The following is a 21,221-nucleotide window of genomic DNA, read 5'->3' on the forward strand; positions in this document are numbered from 1 at the left end:
GGTTTCCCTTTGTGCATACTGGTTGTCCTTGGATATTTTTAGAATTGTCCCTAATATACTCTGCACTGCCAGTGCTCTGGGTAGCATTTGTGTGTCGCATCTTCCACATTACCATGTTATGTGTTATTTTCACTGCCATCAGAAAACCATTTAATTTTTCAAAATTAATTTCAGGTATGATGGCAGCTTGAAATCGGTTCCTCCTCCAGACTTTGGCACCCCTACACTGCATTATTTTGAAGACTGGGGTGTCGTGACTTATGGAAGTGCACTACCTGCAGAAATCAATAGATCTTTCCTTTCCTTCAAGTCTGGAAAACTGGGGGGACGTGCAATATATGACATTGTCCACAGAAACAAATACAAAGATTGGATCAAAGGATGGAGAAATTTTAATGCAGGGCATGAACATCCTGATCAAAACTCATTTACTTTTGCTCCCAATGGTGTGCCTTTCATTACTGAGGCTCTGTACGGGCCAAAGTACACCTTCTTCAACAATGTTTTGATGTTTTCCCCAGCTGTGTCAAAGAGCTGCTTTTCTCCCTGGGTGGGTCAGGTCACAGAAGACTGCTCATCAAAATGGTCTAAATACAAGCATGACCTGGCAGCTAGTTGTCAGGGGAGGGTGGTTGCAGCAGAGGAGAAAAATGGGGTGGTTTTCATCCGAGGAGAAGGTGTGGGAGCTTATAACCCCCAGCTCAACCTGAAGAATGTTCAGAGGAATCTCATCCTCCTACATCCACAGCTGCTTCTCCTTGTAGACCAAATACACCTGGGAGAGGAGAGTCCCTTGGAGACAGCAGCGAGCTTCTTCCATAATGTGGATGTTCCTTTTGAGGAGACTGTGGTAGATGGTGTCCATGGGGCTTTCATCAGGCAGAGAGATGGTCTCTATAAAATGTACTGGATGGACGATACTGGCTACAGCGAGAAAGCAACCTTTGCCTCAGTGACATATCCTCGGGGCTATCCCTACAATGGGACAAACTATGTGAATGTCACCATGCACCTCCGAAGTCCCATCACCAGGGCAGCTTACCTCTTCATAGGGCCATCTATAGATGTTCAGAGCTTCACTGTCCACGGAGACTCTCAGCAACTGGATGTGTTCATAGCCACCAGCAAACATGCCTACGCCACATACCTGTGGACAGGTGAGGCCACAGGACAGTCTGCCTTTGCACAGGTCATTGCTGATCGTCACAAAATTCTGTTTGACCGGAATTCAGCCATCAAGAGCAGCATTGTCCCTGAGGTGAAGGACTATGCTGCTATTGTGGAACAGAACTTGCAGCATTTTAAACCAGTGTTTCAGCTGCTGGAGAAGCAGATACTGTCCCGAGTCCGGAACACAGCTAGCTTTAGGAAGACTGCTGAACGCCTGCTGAGATTTTCAGATAAGAGACAGACTGAGGAGGCCATTGACAGGATTTTTGCCATATCACAGCAACAGCAGCAGCAAAGCAAGTCAAAGAAAAACCGAAGGGCAGGCAAACGCTATAAATTTGTGGATGCTGTCCCTGATATTTTTGCACAGATTGAAGTCAATGAGAAAAAGATTAGACAGAAAGCTCAGATTTTGGCACAGAAAGAACTACCCATAGATGAAGATGAAGAAATGAAAGACCTTTTAGATTTTGCAGATGTAACATACGAGAAACATAAAAATGGGGGCTTGATTAAAGGCCGGTTTGGACAGGCACGGATGGTGACAACTACACACAGCAGGGCCCCATCACTGTCTGCTTCCTATACCAGGTTGTTCCTGATTCTGAACATTGCTATTTTCTTTGTCATGTTGGCAATGCAACTGACTTATTTCCAGAGGGCCCAGAGCCTACATGGCCAAAGATGTCTTTATGCAGTTCTTCTCATAGATAGCTGTATTTTATTATGGTTGTACTCTTCTTGTTCCCAATCACAGTGTTAGCACTGAAGCTATAAATTACCTGGTCATTTTGTGATCACAAGAGTCTATGCAAAAAAAAAAATTTCTTTACCCCAGATTATCAGATTTTTTTCCCTCAGATTCATTTTAACAAATTAAGGGAAGATATTTTGACACAAGAAAGCAGGAACGTGGAGAAATTGGAGCAGGAAAAGAAATTATCAAAGCAATAGAAATAGCTTGGTGGTCCTATGGTGTTTTTGGAAGTATTTGGCATTGCTAATTGAGCAGTCCATATAGTACTACTTTTAGAAGAAACAAAAAGTCTATTTTTTAAAGTAATGTTTTTTCTTATGAGAAAAAGGTTTAGATAGAATTGGGTTTTATTAATATTAATTTAATGCTATTAGCAATTTCCATATACTATATTGTGGAAAAGACTGAAGAATACAATTCTGAGAAATATAAAAAAATTTTAATGGTATACTCATGTTGAAAGATAAATGTTGCTAAGTCCTGGTATGATGGTGTGAGCTTCCTTGGGGAAGTACTTCTTGAGTTATGTAACTAACAGGATGTTTTACTACAGATCTGGATGGCTATTCAGATAACATGGCAAAAAATGATAGCAGAAGATCATTAAAAACTTAAAATATATTTTATTAGAAAACATTTATCTATGAATGAATATTTCCTTGATGCTGGTCTCTGCACACATATGCTTGGTTACTTGCATGCATTCATTGGTTGTTCAATAAGTGAGATGATTACAGATAATACTGTATTTTCCTTATATGGAAAACCGTTATAGACCCAATAACAACTAAACCTTTCAAAAGAAAATATTTTCTATTATGAATGTTGATTTTCATACCAAAGAAGATGGAGAGTCTAAAATTTGGATATGATTCTTATGTTTTTTTAATAGAAAACCTTCTTCAAGTTTATTTTCCTAAATAAACATCATAATTGTGAATTTTCTCTAGTATTCTTCTTCTTTGTTCCATTATATTCAAAATGCATTAACATTTTCCAAAATTTTTGAAGAGAGATCTTTATTTGGACGTGTATTCATTAAATATATAAAGTAGTGTTTGAATCAAAAGAAGTATTTTCTCTGCTTATTAACCTTAATTGTTGTTTAAGCATATTTTAAATATTTAAAACAATAGCCAATTCTGATATTTAAGTAGCACCCAACTTTTAAAAGCATAAAATTTTCAATCAACTCCTCAGAAGGTAACAGCAGCATAGAATACTAGAAAAATAATCCATAGTTTCTACTTGAGCATAAGAAAATGATATACTTAAAAGGAACTTAATAAATTATCATACATTCAGCATATTTGAGTCATATATTTCTCCTTTGAAACAAAATATGTTCAGCTCAAATTTTACAGTAAGGACACACTCACTGATTTATAGGTGTAAAGTAACAACAGTAACCTTTCCTCTTACTTGCTCTTTTAGTTCACAGCAATACCAGTATGTAACCAAAAGACAAGCTAGAGAAACTTTTAAGTACCTTTCTGCAGTTCTAATTTGAACCTTCTTGCATAAAGAAAACACAAGTTTGACTTTTAACTGTGCTTCACTTATTATGCTTGGAATCTAGAAAACGACTTCTGAGGAAGTAATTTTTTTCCCCTCTCATGGAAAGTCTCTAGGGAGGATGTCATTACACACTGTTTAAAAGAATAATGTTTTCAAAAGAATAATGCTTCCGTTTGTCCTGCATGGATGCTCTTACTAGGATTTAAACTTGCTTTATGTGACAGATTCTCCATTTACTTAACCTCACTCAACATTCCTCTCTTTTACTCTTTCTCACTCAAAAGGATGAACTGTCTGAAATGATCAAAAGGAAATTTTGAAAGAAAAAAAAAAGGAAAATTATTCTTTGAGGTTACCAAGCAAACCTGATCTCAGATCCAAACTGAGACATACTTTCTAACAGAGATGAAAAGTGCAAGTGAGTGCCAAACTCGCTTTTCTTTTGTTTTCATTAGGTTAAGGCTTGACAATACGTTAGTCGCCACAGCATGATCCAGTGTAACATATTAGTTCATTTTAAAGTAGTCTTTTTAAAATACGCATCTTTAAAACAAAATGAATTAAAATTATGTGTTTTTTTTTTTTCTTCTAATGAACCTGGTATTTATTTCCTTAAAAAGAAACTTCCTCAGGCAGTGACTTAAGTGGTTAAGTGAAAAAAAAAAATGCTGAAACAAATCACCCCTCTTCATAATGAAACATGTTTTTTTTAATCAGGGATAGTGCATATTTGAGTAAAACTAGGGAACTTTTTGTAACTTGAAAACAAAGCAATGTTAAATCTCCCTTGAAACTGAGTAATCAGTTATGGAATCTGTTTCAATGCTGCTCACTATGACAGGAATGTTTCAAGTTCATTTGATAATATGTGAGCTGTTGTTCAGGGGATTGGCAGGACTCTTGGTCCTAGCCTTAAAGAAAATTTGAGAATCACTAGCATACAGAGCTTGTCAGTGCAGTAAAAGTGGTATATTCCTGGGAAGCTGAGGTGGGAGTATTGCCTGAGCTTAGGAGTTCTGTGCTGCAGTGAGCTATGACTGTGCCACTGCACTCCAGCCTTGGAGACAGAGTGAGACCGTGTTTCTCTCTTTTTTTTTTTTTTAAGTATATTCCCTTGTTTATAACTGATTAGCTTATTTCAGTTGATGGTAGATGAGACCTATGGTGGTGGATGAGACCCAGAATTTTCAGAGAGAACATTCTTTTGACAACATTGTTTTAATCGTCAAAGTCAGGTGGAAGACCGTGTTCTGGAACTATTTTAATTGTTAAAATGTATCACCTAAGATAATGAATTCTTCCACAAATATTTTAGTCATAGTTTTTAAGTACCACGTATTCTAAGGTTATCAGAAAATATGTCTTAACAGAATGTTTTGCATACTGAATAATTTGTTTTTGAAAAGGAAAATTTACATTTGACTTACTCAGTTTTTAAAAAATTATTTTTATTTCTAGAGACACGGTCCTTTCTGCATCACCCAGGCTGAAGTGTAGTGGCGTGATCGTAGCTCACTGCAGCCGCAAACTTCCCATCTTAAGCGATTCTTCTGCCTCAGCCTTCCAAAGTACTGGGATTAGAGGCATAGGTCATCATGCCCGGCCAAGTTAAAAAAATTTTTGATAGTTCACAAACCACTCACAAAAGAATCTGAAATTTCTCCAAGTGTTAAGAGAAAGCAAGCTATGAAATGCTATATTTGTAGGCTTAAAAGTAAATTAGTGTGTTTTCTTAAAAATCTAAACCAAGATTAAAATGAATATAGTCATAGGTATGAGGGGCATGTAATTTATCTTCCGACTGGAGATACCTTTGAGAGTTAAAGGAGGAGCAATTAATTGTTATTCCAGGACAACAGATATAAATCGAGATTATACTAGGTGAACTGGGACATATGGTCATCTTTGTCATAGCTTAATTCAGGAAAAAAGGAGTTAGGGAAGTCTGAAGGTCTAACTCAAAGTTTGATGCTTTTTAAGCAAGTTTAGGGAACTTGAGATGACCTGATTGAGACCCCTAAATCTACAGATGAGGAAAGCAAGCCTCAAGCAAGGGGGGCCTGATCCTTTCCCTGTTCGCTGTGTATTCCCTGTCTGTGGCAAAGCCCATTGCCTTGATTCTCTTCTCTTTACTTTCATGTTGAGAAGTAGTTTCTTTCTGCAGTTTATTTAATTTACTGGCAAAATGACGTATTTTTTTTTCAGCAATGTTTCAGCTAGATATTTGCTTTATGCATGTAATGTCAATGAAGTACTCATAAGTTTTCAAGAAATGACTGATATAAATCATGTGTTCCACTACATAGTCTAAATATTTAGTATTTGGTCATCTATTTTAATATGTTCAAATTCTGTTAAACAAGACATAGTCACTATGTGAAGAATAAAAATAGACAAAGTTGCATTATGACTTTTCTTCTTGCATATACAGTTTCCCTCTTGGTTTTGGGATTTTTTTAATTGAAGTTTTATTTGGCATAAATTATGAACATACATGATTGAAAAAGTATAGTACTAGAAGCCTTATTTAAAAAACAAAACAATAAATTATCTGTCCCTTCCCCTCTCATTCTTAGTTTGTACTTCCCAGAAGTAACCAATTTCTAATTCTTTTGGCTGTTACATATATTGTGTACTTGTTTACAATAAGGTCTAAAACTGCCTACTAATGAAGCTTTAGCTCTCTTACCCATTCTTTATACTTATTGGAAGATAATAGGTGCTATGGAAGGAAAAGTCAGGGTAAGGAGACTGGGAAGAGGAGGCCATAATTTTAAATGTGGTGATCAGGTTAGGCTTTATTGATGTCTCCACTTCCATTCTCTGTGTCATTTTGAAAATCTATTTGCTGTTAATTTAATGGGGTTTTAGGAAGGAACTGAAGGAAATTTATATATTGAGTGCAGTATGTTTAAATGGAAGTCCCACAGCACTTTTCAGTTGAGTTAACAAATAACGAATGACAATAACATGTTTACAGAGCATCTACTATATGCCAAGTATTGTTTTAGGAACTGAAGATATGGTAGAGAATAGGAATAATAAAAGCTGGCCCTTGTATAGTTTATGTTCTAGTGGGAGCAAATAATAACAGTAATAGTGCAGGATGTCAAGTAGTGGTAAGTACTGTGGAGAATAAAGCAAGGGGAGGGGATGTAAGGTGATGGTGAATTGGTACTGTCCCATAAACAGTGGTTTCTGATGTGATTACTTATGATCAGACACTTGAAAGAAATAAGGGAATGAATCACAGGGACATCTAAGAGAGAGGAGCATTCCAGATAGAACAGCAGTTCGAAGGCCCTGAGCTCAGTATGTGTTTGGTGTATTTAGGACTAGGAGGCCAGTGTGGCTAGAGCAGAGTGGGGGAGGGGAGGGTGATAGGAATAGGATCAGATCATACATGCTCTCACAGACTGCAGCAAAGACTTGGATTATGAGTTGGGGAGTCAGTTGCAATGAACTGAGATGTGGCTGACTGCAGGAGGAATAAGTAGTAGGAAGCGGGTCCAGGAGGTTGTTTTAGCCATGTTAAGTTTAAGATACTTTCTAAAAATCCAAGTGGAGATGTACCAGCCTGGAATCCAGGGGCAGGCTGTGGCTGAAGATGTAATTGTTGGTGCCTTCTTAAAGGTTAAACAGAAATTTACTAGCTGTGTGAGAGGAGAAGTGCATTCTGGGTAAATGGAATAGAATAAAGAAAAAAGTACGAAAAAGCAAACCTGGTTCAGGAATTCTCCAGACTGGTGGTGTTGGCCCACAGGGTGTGTGATGGAGAATGGGTGAAGATGAAACTGAAAAGGCAAGCAGGGAGGCTATTGTGCAGGACTTTGTAGGACATGCTAAGGAATCTGGACTTTATTCTGCCATGAGGCTGCTCAACCATTTTTATGCCTCAGCATAACTGAGGGCTACAACATAACACCCATCACTCAACAAGCATGGCAGCGATTTTCATGGGATAGGAAATGTGTATGGGAGCAAAAGGGACATGGGTGAGGGGTGTTGATGATGCCACATATACCTGTGTGTATGTGAAACTTTGAAAAATCCCTGAGATGGCTCTGATATGCCCCCCATATTCCATATGTTTACTCCCTGGGGTGAGGTGGGGCAGGGAGGGGGTACCCTCTGCTTAGAAATCGCTGCAAGCAATGGCAAGCCATTAAAGAATTTTCTTTTTAAATAATCAGATTTGCATTTTAGAAAGGCAATTTTAGCTTCAGTGTAGAGAGTGGACCCAATGGGGAAGAGGTTAGGAGACCATTTCCATAGTCTGGGTAGAAGACAATTAGCTCCTTGAATAAGTCTGGAGAGGGAATGTTTAACTCCTAGCCCACAGGCAAAATGTGTGGCCAAAGGAATGAATATTTTGTGGAAGTATTGATCAGAAAGATAATGAGTCAAGGATCCCTAATGGTATATATGTCTGAGTCTTATTTAATATAAGAAGAGCATGGTTGCCTGCCATGGCTCTGCTGCCGTCACCCTGGCTATCCCTTAATAAGCCCAGGAAATTGTTCAAATATTTCTGCCATTTGTGTTTTCAGCTTGCCTTGTTCAGGGACTTCACATAGAATGGTATAACTGGAGTACAGGGTGTGTATGTAGTGGCGGGTGATAGAAAATTAGACTGGAAAAGTAGACCAGGCTCCAGGGCAGGAGGGTCTCTTTTCCTCACTCCATTTAATTTAAAAAAGAAATAGTTTCAATTATATAAGCATTGTGATTAATGCAGGCAGTTGGAGTACTTTCTAAATCAGAAAAGTAAAAGTGCTGCTCCTTCTGCATATCTCTAGAAATTTGTTATGGGGAAGTCTTTATCAAAGAATGTCCCTATGATTTCAGTAGAATTTCTTAAGAAAAGAGCTTCTAAAAACATTCAGTCAGCCCAGCACATTCCAAATTAAATAATGAGAAGTGTGTTTAGTATTTATTTAGGAATTCTTTTCTGAACAAAAAAACGTTTTCAATGGTCTAGGCACTTCCTTTTTCTTCCAAAGAAATGGTAATAACAGGACACTAGAAGTACCTTTCTGTGTAAAGCAAACATCTTGTCAGTTTTCCTTACTTTGTACTTTTCAGTCTCTGCTGTTTACCATTTTTGTCCAGGATCAGAGACCTCCAGTAAAATAAAAGGAATTTCTGTTTATTGTCTCCTTGATAATCTTGATTTCTAAACTCCTTTACTCCTCTCTTGAAGGTATTTGTTTTACTGACAAAAGAATGGATCCAGGTCATTTAGTAGAGTTCTGAAGAGAATTCTTAGAGCACTCTATATATTCAAACCTCCGTATTTTTTGATACAAAAAGGACTGATGAAAGGGAGACGTGATTCTTTTGAAAGATTAATTCACAGAATTTTTTATCACAGTTGAAATATCAATTGCAATAACAACTGAAAACTGATTGCTATTACTGAACACTGCCCTTAGGTGGCTCACTCTTAGAAGACACAAAGTCACTGGACTACAATCCTTTAGGGCAGGGATTGTGTCTCTTGCTCGTTGTATATACATGGTTCTTACACAGTGCCTGGCATTCAAAAAATGCATTCAGAAAAATTTGGTATTCAAAAAATGCTTGATGAATTGACTGACTGCCTGAATGAATAAATAAATTGGTGGATTAATGACTGAATGGAGTACAGAAGACTGTGGTCCCAGAAGACCTTAACATTGAGCTTGCTGCAGACTGAATGTTTGCCTCCTCTCAAAATTAATATGTTGAAACCTAATCCTTAATGTGATAGTATTAGGATGTGGGGCCTTTGGAAAGTGATTAGGTTATGAAGGTGGAGCCCTCGTGAATGGGAGTAGTATCCTTATAAAAGATACCCCAGAGAGGTCCCTTGTCCCTTCCAACATGTGAGGCTACAGTGAAAAGATGGCCATCTGTAAACCAGGAAGTGAGTCCTCACCAGATACCACATCTGTTGTGCTTTGATCTTGGATTTCCCTGTCCCCAGAACTGTGGTAAATAAATTTCTGTTGTTTGTAAGCCACCTAGTCTATGGTGTTTTTGTTATAGCAGCCTGAATGAGATAAGATAGAACATAGTTCTTATAATGAGCTAACATCACTAACCTCTCAGTTAGCTGTGAACTGTGGCCCTGAGAGATGCTCCAGCTAGATCCTAGAGCTGTTTCAACACTGTCACCTCTGAGCTATGTGGAGGCCTAAAATTCAATCTCCAGGACAGGGTACATGTGAAAGACAGATGTTAACAAGGTAAGCAAGCAGCTGCTTATATGATTGCTAAACACAGGGTGGTCCCAAGTGGGATCGAGAGCCCAGATTCCAAAGCACAACTTAAAATAACACACCATTTGTGTGAGATGTTGTAAACCACCAGTAATCAGCAGACTGTTGCTAAACTTCAGCCATTGCCCATAAGAATGCCTTGTGAGTTCATGACACTGTGCAATCGAGAAAGCATAGCCATGCCAGCAAAGCAGACTTCCTAGAGAACATAGGACAATGTGGTGTGGGTGTCAAGGGTGTGGGCAAGCAGTGTGGTTGGGAGGGTTGGTTATTCAGCTGGCTTTTCTGCGACACCTGCACACGTGGAGAGTCAACCATGGCACCTGTTGCCTAGTGCATGTTTTAAGAGTCTTATGGATGATGAGAGGACCTTCGTGAATTCACTACTGAAGATAGGTCATTTTTAATTAAAAAAATTATTTGGATGTCAGAGGAAGAAGTAGGGAATGAAAGAATATAATTCTGTAAAAGAAGTTTTGTTTCTTAAATGGTATGCAATGAGCCCACATGCAGGCTTATTTTATAAAATGTGCTAAAATTCATAAAAACATTGCCTAGTCCAAGTTTACGCCATTATTATGCTAAAGCTTACTAGATAGCAATGATAATAGCAGTCTTACTGAAGCCTAGCAAAGTTTGAAGAAATTTGTACGCATCTGCATACTGTAAGGAAAATAATAGCTACAGCCCCATCTTATAAATTAGGAAGCTAGGTTCAGAGAGGCTAAGAACTGTGACCAGAGACATACAGCCAACAGTAATTATGGATTAGAGCATAAAACTCAAAATAAAACAATGTCTAAACTTGAATTTTAATTATTTAGAGTGCTCAAAATGCTACATTATAATCATTAAAAATACTGAGTTATAAGCATAGTTACATCAAAACTATTAAACTTTCACCATAATTGTTTGCCTTTAATCTCATGAAACTTAAGTGAACAAGCAAAAAAATTGTCAAAGTAGATTATCTTTGTTAAAGATAGACTACTGGGCCAGGTGATGTACCTCACACCTGTAATCCCATACTTTGTGGGGCTGAGGTGGCGGATAGCTTAAGCCCAGGAATTCAAGACCAGCCTGGGCAACATGGTGAAACCCTGTCTCTTCTAAAAATACAAAAATTAGCTGGGTGTGGTGGTGCACGCCTGTAGTGCCAGCTGCTGTGGAGGCTGAGGTGGGAAGATTGCTTGAGTCCCAGGAGGCAGAGGTTGCAGTGAGCCAAGATCAGGCCTCTGCACTCCAGCCTGGGCACAGAGTCAGGTCCTATCTCAAAAAAAAAAAAAAAAAAAAAGACTACTGAACATCCTCACATTTTAGAAATTACTATAACTATTTGTCATAGTTTAGGATCCTGCAGCACAGCCTACAGACATCATAAAATAATCAGTTGCAAAACCAGACTTCTGCTTTTTGTGTCTACTCTCATCTTGCACCCAAACTGTGAGTCACTTTGATTGAGCTTCATAAACATAAAAGCAAATTATTTACTAATATATTTATCTGCAGTCTCCATCTCTTAATTTAGTATTGTTTCCTGGACTTTTAAGACTGTCATAAATGTTTGTGGTTTTTCAGGTGGTTGAAGTGAATGGAGTCATTGTAAAACGCTTTCAATCAGCTGACCAATGCTTTATATAACATAAACCTACTTTATCATCCTCTCCTAAAGAAGAGAAGATTTAGCTAGAATAATTATTAACAGAAGATGTGGAGATACAGAAGAAACTAGAAAATATCTCACAATCAATACATCTTTCAAGCAGTCAATCATTTGTCACTCATATTGCTTTTTTAAACCCAGCTTTACATGGAAGGAATAAATGGAACTCCAGTTTGGTTTTTCTTCTTTTTTTTTTTTTCTGTTAAGGCAGATTTAAAATTTTTTTTGGTTTACTTTTCATTGAATTTTGTCAGTTCTTGGTCGAATGTATGTATGTGTGTGGTTTTTAAAGAGGTCATGCCTGTTTCTTTTTTTTAACGAACTAGAAGTATGTATTATAGCATGTTAGAATTGAAAGGGACCCCAAAGATGATCTAGTTCAGCCTTCCCATTTGACAGTTGAGGAAACACTTTGTTTGGCATTTCTTTACTTTAAGGAAAGTTGGGGCACTGCCAAAATCAACACTGCCTGCTTTGAGTTTTCACTGCTTGTCGGACAAACCTTAGGTTGGGGGATTGGGGGATATATACAAACAGGGACTAAAACAAGCAACATCATGCCGTCAGCCATCAATCTGGTTGTTGTCTTATTCTTCCCCAAAATAATTTCAAGTCAACTATAGACACAAACACTTGAAATGTATTAATTTATTTATTAAATAAAAATGGCTGATATTTTGCTTACTAAAAATCTGATTATTTCTTTGGCTCCTGGTTAGATGAGCAAGTCAAATGTTAACAACCTGAGTACCATCGTCTATAACAAAACAGTGAATCAGCACCCTCTAGCACATTTCTGAGTCACTACTTTTTAAAAAAACCTTTTAAAAAATGTAACTGAAACTAAAATATTCTAAACACTGTGCTGGGTTTTTCATACTATCTCATTTTTAATTCTCATAAAATTGCACAACATAGCTTGAGACAGCTCTGTAAGTAGATAAAGATAATATACAATGTAGTGAGGTCTACTTCGTGTGTGGAAAGAGAGTTGTGGTCAGAGAGCAGCTGACTCTACTGAGGGAAGCAATGATGAATGAGAAGAGGCCCTGGATCCCTGGGAGCTCCCACCATAGTAGGAGAGACAGATCCCTGGAAAGGAATGTTGCAATAGGCATGTCAAGAACTATTGCACAGTTATTTCTTTTTAAATGGTGTGAGAGCAAAAAAAATAGAAATGCTAACTCTGGGGGTTTTGAAGATGACTTGAATGAAGAAGTTACATCAGACTGAGTATTAAAGGAAGAGAGTAGTTTGCCAGGTGAAAAACAGAAATGTCATTTAAGGAAGAAAGAAAAACAAGTGAGAAGGCATGGTATTGAGGAAGACTGTGATGTGTATGCACAGGAAAAGTAAGGGGGTCAGTGGTGCTGGAAACCGGGGTGCATGGGATGAAGTGGGGTGGAGATGTGTGGAGCAAGTCTGGGACAAGCTTCTGTGCCAATGTAGGGATATGGAAGTTGTCCTCTGGAAAACTGGAAGTATTGGAGGTTTTCAGTTGGAAAATAATGTAATTGGATTGCTGTCTTTCTCTTGCCATAAAAATTAAGAAATATAATCCTTAATGAGGAAAAAATACTAAAACATTAAAACAGATATAGTGTATAAAGCATAATTGTAAACACCTCTGTAACATATAACATTGTGAAAACCCTTCATCTCCTCCCCAGTCATATGTCATGGAAGCCCCAAAAATGATAACCACTGTCCTGATTCTTAATCACTTCTTTGTTGTTCCTTAGTTTTTTCACTTATGTATACATACTCAGAAAAGACAGTCTATTTAGACTAGTTCTGAACTTTTTATAAATGGAATAATACTGAACATATTCTTTGTGTTTAAGTTTTATTGCTCAATGTTTTGTTTTAAAGATTCATCCTTGTTGATATTTATTTATTTACTTTGCTATATAGTATTTTCTTGTTTGACTATTTCACAGTTTATCTTGTCTGTTGTATATTTTTCTTTGGTTTTTAAAATCATTCTTATGTTTATTTGATCAGTTTTTATGTTTATTACCAGTTCTTTTATACCAGCTTTTTAAAAATAGCAATTATGAACAATATGAGCTTTTGTACTCTGTATCCCATTCACATGGTGCATAACAGTCTCTAGGGTATACTCAAATTCACTTTTTAAAAGATTTTATTTTCCTATGTGCAGTTTTAGGTTCATAGCAAAATTCAGAGAAGGGTATAGCGATTTCCCACATACCTCCTGCTCCCACACATTCATATCCTCCCCCATTATCAACACATCCCACCAGAGTGATATGTTTGTTGCAACTGATAAACCTACATTGACACATGATAATCACCCAAAGTCCACAGTTTATATTAGGGTTCACTCTTATGTACATTCTACATGTTTGGACAGATGTGTAATGACATTTGTCCACCATTATAGTATCCAGATTAGTTTCACTGCCCTGAAAATCCTCTAGGTTCTGCTTGTTGATTCCTCTTGCCCCACAACTTCAGGCAAACACTGATTATTTTACTGTCTTTAGAGTTTTGCCTTTTCCAGAATAGTTGTAATTATACAGTATGTAGCCTTTTCAGATTGGCTTCTTTCACTTAGTAATATGCATTTGTTTCTTTCATGTCTCTTCATGGCTTGATAGCTCATTTCTCTTTAGCATTGAACAATACTCCATTGTCTGGATGTGCGATAGTTTATTTACCATTTATCCATTCACCTACTGATGGACATCTTGGTTGCTTCTAACTTTTGGCAATTACAAGTAAAGCTGCTATAAACATCCATTTGCAAGTTTTCGTGTGGGCATAAGTTTTCAACTCAATTGAAATATCAATTGGTATCAATTGGATAGATACCAAAGAGCATGATTGCTGGATCATATCGTAAGAGTATTTTAGTATTGTAAGAAACTGCCAAACTGCCTTCCAAAGTGGCTGCACCATTTTTCATCCCCACCAACAACAAATGACATATTCATTTTTCAGGAAGTTAACTCTGACAGGACTGAGTGGCATAAACTGCAGTGAGGTGATGTAATGAGAATGTGGACCACATTCAGTGAGGTTGGAGAGGAGAGGTCCACACTGAGGGGTGGACCTGAAGCAGACTTAAGCTGCACAAGAAATGGAGTGGCATCACCAGTGACCCTGAGTTTTCTAGCTTGAAAGATTAATATCCTTATCTGACATCAAAATTCAGGAAAAATAAGTTGTAACATAAGCTGAGTTCTATATTATGTTTGAAATGATTGCTAAACAAATAAGTGAAGATATCTTCTAGGCAGTTAAAAATGCCCATGTAGAACTTAGGAAAGGGAGATGAATATTTGGAAATGTTAACACAGAGTTGGTTGTTGAAGCCCTAGGAAAAGAGAATAATATCATTACCAACACTTTTGAGCATTTGCTATGTGCCAGGCACTATTAGAAGAATGTTGTATGTTTCAACTCTTAATTTTCACAACAACCCAATGAGGCAGATAATATTATTTTCATATTACAGATAACTGAGGCACAGAGAGATCTACTACCTTGCTTAAGGTCACATGTCTAGTCTGTGGTGGTGCCAAGAGGAGATTATTCAGGGTGTGTATGTGGAAAGTACCCAATTTTAGTGAGTACCAATATTAATGGTTGGGAGGAGGAGGGAGAGCCTATGAAGGAGGCTTGGATGAATAGTCAGGGAGTCTGGAGGAGAGCCAGAGAGTGTTATTAGCAGCCAAACTTAAATTACCTTAATCAGGTAAGTACTGCAGGTGCCTGGCACTACCAGAGGAGGTCAGGTATCATGCCAAAGTAGAGTCACAGATCGTCAAGCTCTGAATCTACCTGTGAATGAAACTTATTCAAGATTGGTTCATTGCTTCCAAGATAGGAGGTGAACTTTTTTTTTTTTAACTTTTAAAATAAATCTAAAAGTAAAATATAAAAAAAAAATTCTTGCCCTTGGGTTGCTTTCTCAGTTAAAGTAAAAAGAAAAATCCCTCCCATAAATAATTCAGTTATGTGTGGGTATGGAAAGATAGTGGACAATGGGGAGTGGGGCTAGTGGGGAAGAGAACTGTGCTGAGTAAACAAGACAAAAGCAGTTGAGCTGAGTGGGAAGGAGAACAGGAAGAAGTCTGGGACAGTCCCTGTTCTGCCCAGGCCTGCACCTCCACCATCCCCCGCTGTGGCTTGGTGACTCTGATTAAAGTGGATGGGAGTAGGTGTCCAGGTGGCCCTTCAGCTGCACCTGGAACCTAACCCATGACCTTGTTTGTTGCTGGTGTTGCCTTGTTCCTCCGTGGATAAGCTACCTACTGTTTTCCACAGGGTTGGCAATTCAAGATTCCTTACGTTATTCTGAGCTGTGTGATGTGCTCAGACCGGCATGGCCTGTGCAGAAGGGCTCACATTCTAAGCTGAATAAAATAGGAATGGTGCTGGCTCTGCAGTAGGAGAAGAGAAAATCTAAGCCTGCTTCTCATTCATTCATTCATCGATTCACTCACTGTTCCCACAAATATGTACTGAACACCTACAAAGTCCTAGGCACTATGCCAAGACCTGTGTAACTGAAAGAGGATTAAGTCAGGTGTTATCCATGCCCTCTTGGAATGTATAATCTAGTGGAGGAGACGAACAAAAATTAACAAGCAACAAATGAAAGATAAAACTCCTACATGTAATAAGGAAAAAATGCAGCTAAGAAAGGTGAAGGGGTGGATGGGGAACTGTTTAGAAAGACTGGTCATAGAAGATGTGGTGGAGACTTCCTGTACTCGTCCATGTCAGGTTCTCTGCCTTTAAGGCATGGGAAAGAACCATACTTCCTCTTTCCATTGCAGTTCGGTGAAACCTTGTGGCTAGTTCTGAACAGATATTGGTATTTGAAGCAGGGTGCTTTATTAATTTAAAAACCCTAAAATATGTGGCATGGGCTTCGCAGTTCAGTGGTGGACAGCATAGAAATTGATAATGGAGGCTAGATAGATGACAATTCTTGTTATGTGGTGGTTGGTAAAGCCAACTTCTGTATTAACTTGGAGGAAGATTATGTAGCTAAAGAAAATAAGACTCTAAGGGAAAGGATTGGAAAATAATGTGTCTACTGTGTGTTAGCAACTACTATTTTTTTAAAGGAATATAAAATTATTTATTAACCACTGTTCACCAGTATTTACAATAAAGTAAACAATATACAGTTGAATAACATTCTGATTACTACAAAGTTGTTCTTCCTGGCTTTTGCTGAACCAGTAAAGCAAAGTGAAGATTGAGCCTACATGTAAGGAATGAGTTGGGGTAAAGAAAAAACATGCAGGTCAATAGGTTAGATTACAAAAGGTTGTTCACACATTTGTAGCAGCAGGTCCTAAACTGCCAACATCTCTAACCATCTGATCAGGTTTCTATGAGCCAAGTCTTACATATTCCATTCATCATTACCTTTTAGTCAATGTAGTAACAGGGATTTCAACATTTTGTTAGGGAATGGCACACTAGGGAAATTTTTTAATGTTCATTTAATTTAGTTTTGTTTAGCTAGTTAAAACACACTAGCATTTGTCTAGTTTCCTCATCTGGATGAGGAAAACTGCTGTGATGGCAGTGATAAAATTTTTCCTTTTAGGAATTTTGCAAATAAACCACTGCAATTATAGATGATTTAAAATTATCCAATTTAAATTGTCCTATTTAGAATTACTTATTTCACTTGAAATGCATGGCTTCAGGAAAATTTTCAATTTAACTTGAAGTGATTATCTCTTATTTTGCTCGGAATAATGGCATCTCAGAAACATGGGCTTACCTGTGATTTTTTTGTTTGTGTGAATGCTCAAAAACAAACAAACAAAAAATTCACATATGCATTTTATGGATACACACACAAAAAAAAAACATGTAAAAAATCTAGAATGGTCCTTAGGCTTATGAGAACACAAGTTTTGATTGAGTAATGACTACGGACATTTCCCCCAACATTTAGAGAAGCTGTTCTTTAATGAAGAGGAAATAATATACCATGGTATCAAATGTTCTTTTCTGATAGAGGAAGCAACTATAGAAAGCTTTTGTTTGTTCAAAGTAACCAGTGCTATGGATTCAAAAAACCCCCCAGCAACTCTTCCAACGCTACTTTCAAAATGAACATATCAAACTTGATTTTCATTAGGATGTAGTTATTTCATCACACTAGTAAATCAAAATCCAAGACCCAAATTTTATATATATTATAAATATATATAAAAAAACAATGTGAACAATTATTGAGCTTCATCTTCTGGACAAGAATGCCAAGTTAGTCTCTCTTCATAAAAAGCAATTACAATTTGAGGACACTTCATACTTGCTTCTTTTGCCAGCACCAAGTCTGCCTCATCTGAATCTTTCCATTTCATGAGAAACATCAATTCTCCACTGCTGTCTGTGGCACCAATTATTCTTTCAGGATCAAGACCTCTGGCAAATCCTCTTGGTTTGTCAGCAGCATCTGTTTTCTTCTTTGATTTGCTGTCATCAGATTCACTGTCAGATAAAGATTTTCTTTTTTACCATCTTTTTGTTTGCCAGCTTTCTGAGAGCTAAGAAATGCTTCAATCAATTCTGGACAATCTAAATTTTCTTCAGGTTCCCAAGTATTGTCAGCATCTGTAAATCCCTTCCACTTCAGGAAATATTCCACTTTCCCATTCACTACACGTCAATCTAGTACTTTTTCCACCACAAATTCTTCAGGCTCTGCCTCTTCAACTTTTTACTTTTCCCATTCTGTTTTTTTTCCCCATTTTTCACAATGTAGTTTTATTGGAGGCCATTTTTTATAGCAGACTTGATGAGATATTATTCACCGCCTCCGAACTGCTCCGGGTCGCAGGTCTGCAGCATCTCTGGCCCTGCGCGCCTACCACTACTAGCTATTTTTTTTTTTTTGACAAGGCTTTTTTAACTCAAGAAAAGAATTGGTTGCTTTGTTAACAAATATGAGAAGGAATGGAACTATTTCAGAAAATTGGGGCCTTGCAAAATTGCAAATTCTAACAGGTTTTAAACTCCAAATACTAAGTCAGAAATTGAGAAAGCCTTGAAAGATGAAGCCCATTAAAATAACCTGTGGATAGGTAAAATTAAAAGTATGTTGTCTCTACCTATGATAATGCCTTTCAATAGATTAAGGAATTTCAGGGCAGATAAAATTAAGGTATTCAATTGGATAAATACACACGGCAAAGATCAAATTAAAGTTGTGGCTTTTCCACAGAAAATCATAGACTCATGTATATGCAGGATACCAGTAATGGCAAGAGAGAGATAAAGATAGAGAGACATGAAGAGCTAGATAGAGAGGGAGGAAGAGACAGAGGAAGGTAGGATAGATAGGAGGACCAGGGAAAGAGGGACAGAGAGACAGAGAGGGAGAGAGAGAGAGACACGGAGGATGGGGCAAGAAAGCAAAATGATAGAGTATATCTGAGAACCATGTCTTGGAAAGAATGGTGGATATTGGCAAATACTGTTTACTGGAATCAAAGAAATAAGAAGCTTACTAAATTACCACTTGGCAAAAGCCATAAAAGTTCCTACCTTGAGTATACAGAAATGTTCCTTGATTTTCAGGATTCCACTCTCTGGAGGGTCTTCTGTTATCTTCCTTTGCCATGTACTAATGGGCATATATTCGTCTTGGGGACTGTGTAATTCTCTTAGTGCGTGTCCTTCTTATGTAATGTCAGAAGACCATAGGTCTACTTGGGCTTGTGATTCCTTTGACTGTAAATCTCTCCCAAATTTTAGTAAGCTTCTTATCTCTTTGATTCCAGCAAGCTGTATTTGTCAATAGCCACAGTTCTGAGCTATATTTGTCAATAGCCACAGTTCTTTTCAATACATGATTCCATTCTTCTGCTTTCTTGAAAAGTAAATTTTCTGTTGTATACAAATGGATTGCATGAAATGTTCTTGCTTATTTTCCAATTAGTATGTCTTCCATGTCTTTTCATCCATACCAGCACATACAGATCTACCTCAATGGTATGGATCTACTTTGTATTCTATGCACCAATACTACATAACTTATTTAAATAGTACTCTACAACTTGACACTGTAGCAAGTTTCAAGTGATGCATTCTTTTTGGGAAGATCTTCCATGACAGTTTATGCTCTCCACAGAGTTCATTTAAATTTCTGAGATTTTATAATAGTGTCATCTATAATTTGAAGAACTCAAAATTTTGTTTTATTGTTATTTTTATTTTCTTCATTCTTATTCTTTAATCTTGTTATTTATTATTGTTTTCTTTGGAAATTCATATCTTTGATCATATATCATAAATTAGTAAAGGAAATTTGAGTTCAGGAGAACTGGGATTGTGACGATAAGTGCCCATTGACAACAAAGCTCCATCACACATTATCACACATTGTGCTCTGCAGCTCTCATAAGAATGCAGACTAATGACATGACCCTGCTTGGAATGTGACTGCTAGATTCTAATACAGCATTAATCTTGGCCCCAAGACCCTCCAAAGAGAGTAAAATCAAGTTAAGATTCAAATATCTTAGGTATCACGTGCAAGATGCAATGCTGGATGCCAAAATTAACAAGTTAATTTACAAAATCTGACACTCCTAATCCCAAAGGGAGTATATTTCTGAATGTTAAAATTTGTGGATATATTCCGGATGTATATTGTGGATATATAAATTTGTAGCTACATATTGTGGCTCTCTCTCTCTTTCTATGTCTGTCTCTCTGTCTCTCTCTCCAACTCTCTCTCTCACCTCTGAAATAACAATTTGATTTGATGGGTGCTATGGTCTAATGTTGGTGTCCCCACAAAAATCCTATGTTGGAACTTAGTATTCAATACAATAGTATTAAGAGGTGAGGCCTGTTGAGAGGTGATTAAATCATGAGGGCTTCACTCTTGTGAATGGGATTAGTGCCCTTATAAAAGAGGTTGAAGGGAGGTGCCTTGTCTCTTCCACCATGTGAAGACACAGGAAAGTTGCCATCTATGAGGAATAGGCTCTTAGCAGACACCAAATCTGCTAGCATCTTGATCTTGGACTTCTCAGCCTTCAGTACTGTGAGAAATAATTTTTTGTTTATAAATTACCTAGTCTAAGGTATTTTGTTATAGCAGACTGAAAGACTAAGACAATGAGAAAACATTGTTTCACCAAAACTGCTAATAGACATAGGTCGTAAAAAGCACAGAAGGAAAACTAACTAGGACCTTTAATAGCCTCAGTGTATCAGATGATATTGATGATGGCGGTGACAACAACAATGGTAGCAACGATGATGTCAACAAAGACTTGGCCATATCTAGTTTCTCTAAGTTGTTAAATCAAATTTATCCTAAAGCAGCCTCCTTACGTATCTTAAGTTCAGCCTAAAGGTTTCTCTGTAATGTAAGCAGACTGTAACCTACTGTTGTGCCAGTCAACAAGTTTTGGCCAATCAAAGGGGGTCAACTGTTCAAACTGTGTTCAAAGAAGGTAAATGCCAAGCTGTAACCAATCAGGCTGTTTCTATACCTCACTTCCATTTTCTGTACGTCACTTTCCTTTTTCTGTCTATAAATCTTCCACGGGATTCTCTCTGAGCCTACTCTGGCTCAAGAGGCTACCAGATTCATGAATCATTCTTTGCTCAATTAAACTCTGTTAGATTTAATTTGGCTATGTTTTTTCTTTTAACAGAGTTAAAATAACTATCTGCTGCAAGAACAAAAATTAGTGTGTTAATCAATAAGTACTTAAACTTTTGTGATAGGCTTAGGAAATTCACACTAAGAGAGGAATAAAAATCTTTAAAAGGCTTTTTTGAAATGTCATGGGATTGCCATTTAACAAATGACATCTCTGTGCCAAGGAAA

General features: G+C 37.4%; 1 protein-coding gene and 1 pseudogene across 12 annotated transcripts in view; one reads left to right on the forward strand and one right to left on the reverse strand.

Moving 5' to 3' along the window:
* Positions 1 to 9,449, forward strand: part of DSE (dermatan sulfate epimerase) — a 190,691-nt gene extending 181,242 nt beyond the window's left edge. For all 12 annotated transcript variants that reach the window (NR_136524.2, NM_001374520.1, NM_001322937.2 and 9 more), the window contains one exon: positions 175 to 9,449. Coding sequence is in view for 11 of the 12 variants with exons in the window: in NM_001374520.1 (NP_001361449.1) it covers positions 175 to 1,933 (1,759 nt within the window). In the remaining variant the exon portion in view is untranslated. The remainder of the gene's footprint in view (positions 1 to 174) is intronic.
* CBX3P9 (CBX3 pseudogene 9) lies at positions 17,405 to 18,243 on the reverse strand (annotated as a pseudogene).

Source organism: Homo sapiens, chromosome 6 (assembly GCF_000001405.40).
Source record: "Homo sapiens chromosome 6, GRCh38.p14 Primary Assembly".
Lineage (NCBI taxonomy): Eukaryota > Metazoa > Chordata > Mammalia > Primates > Hominidae > Homo > Homo sapiens.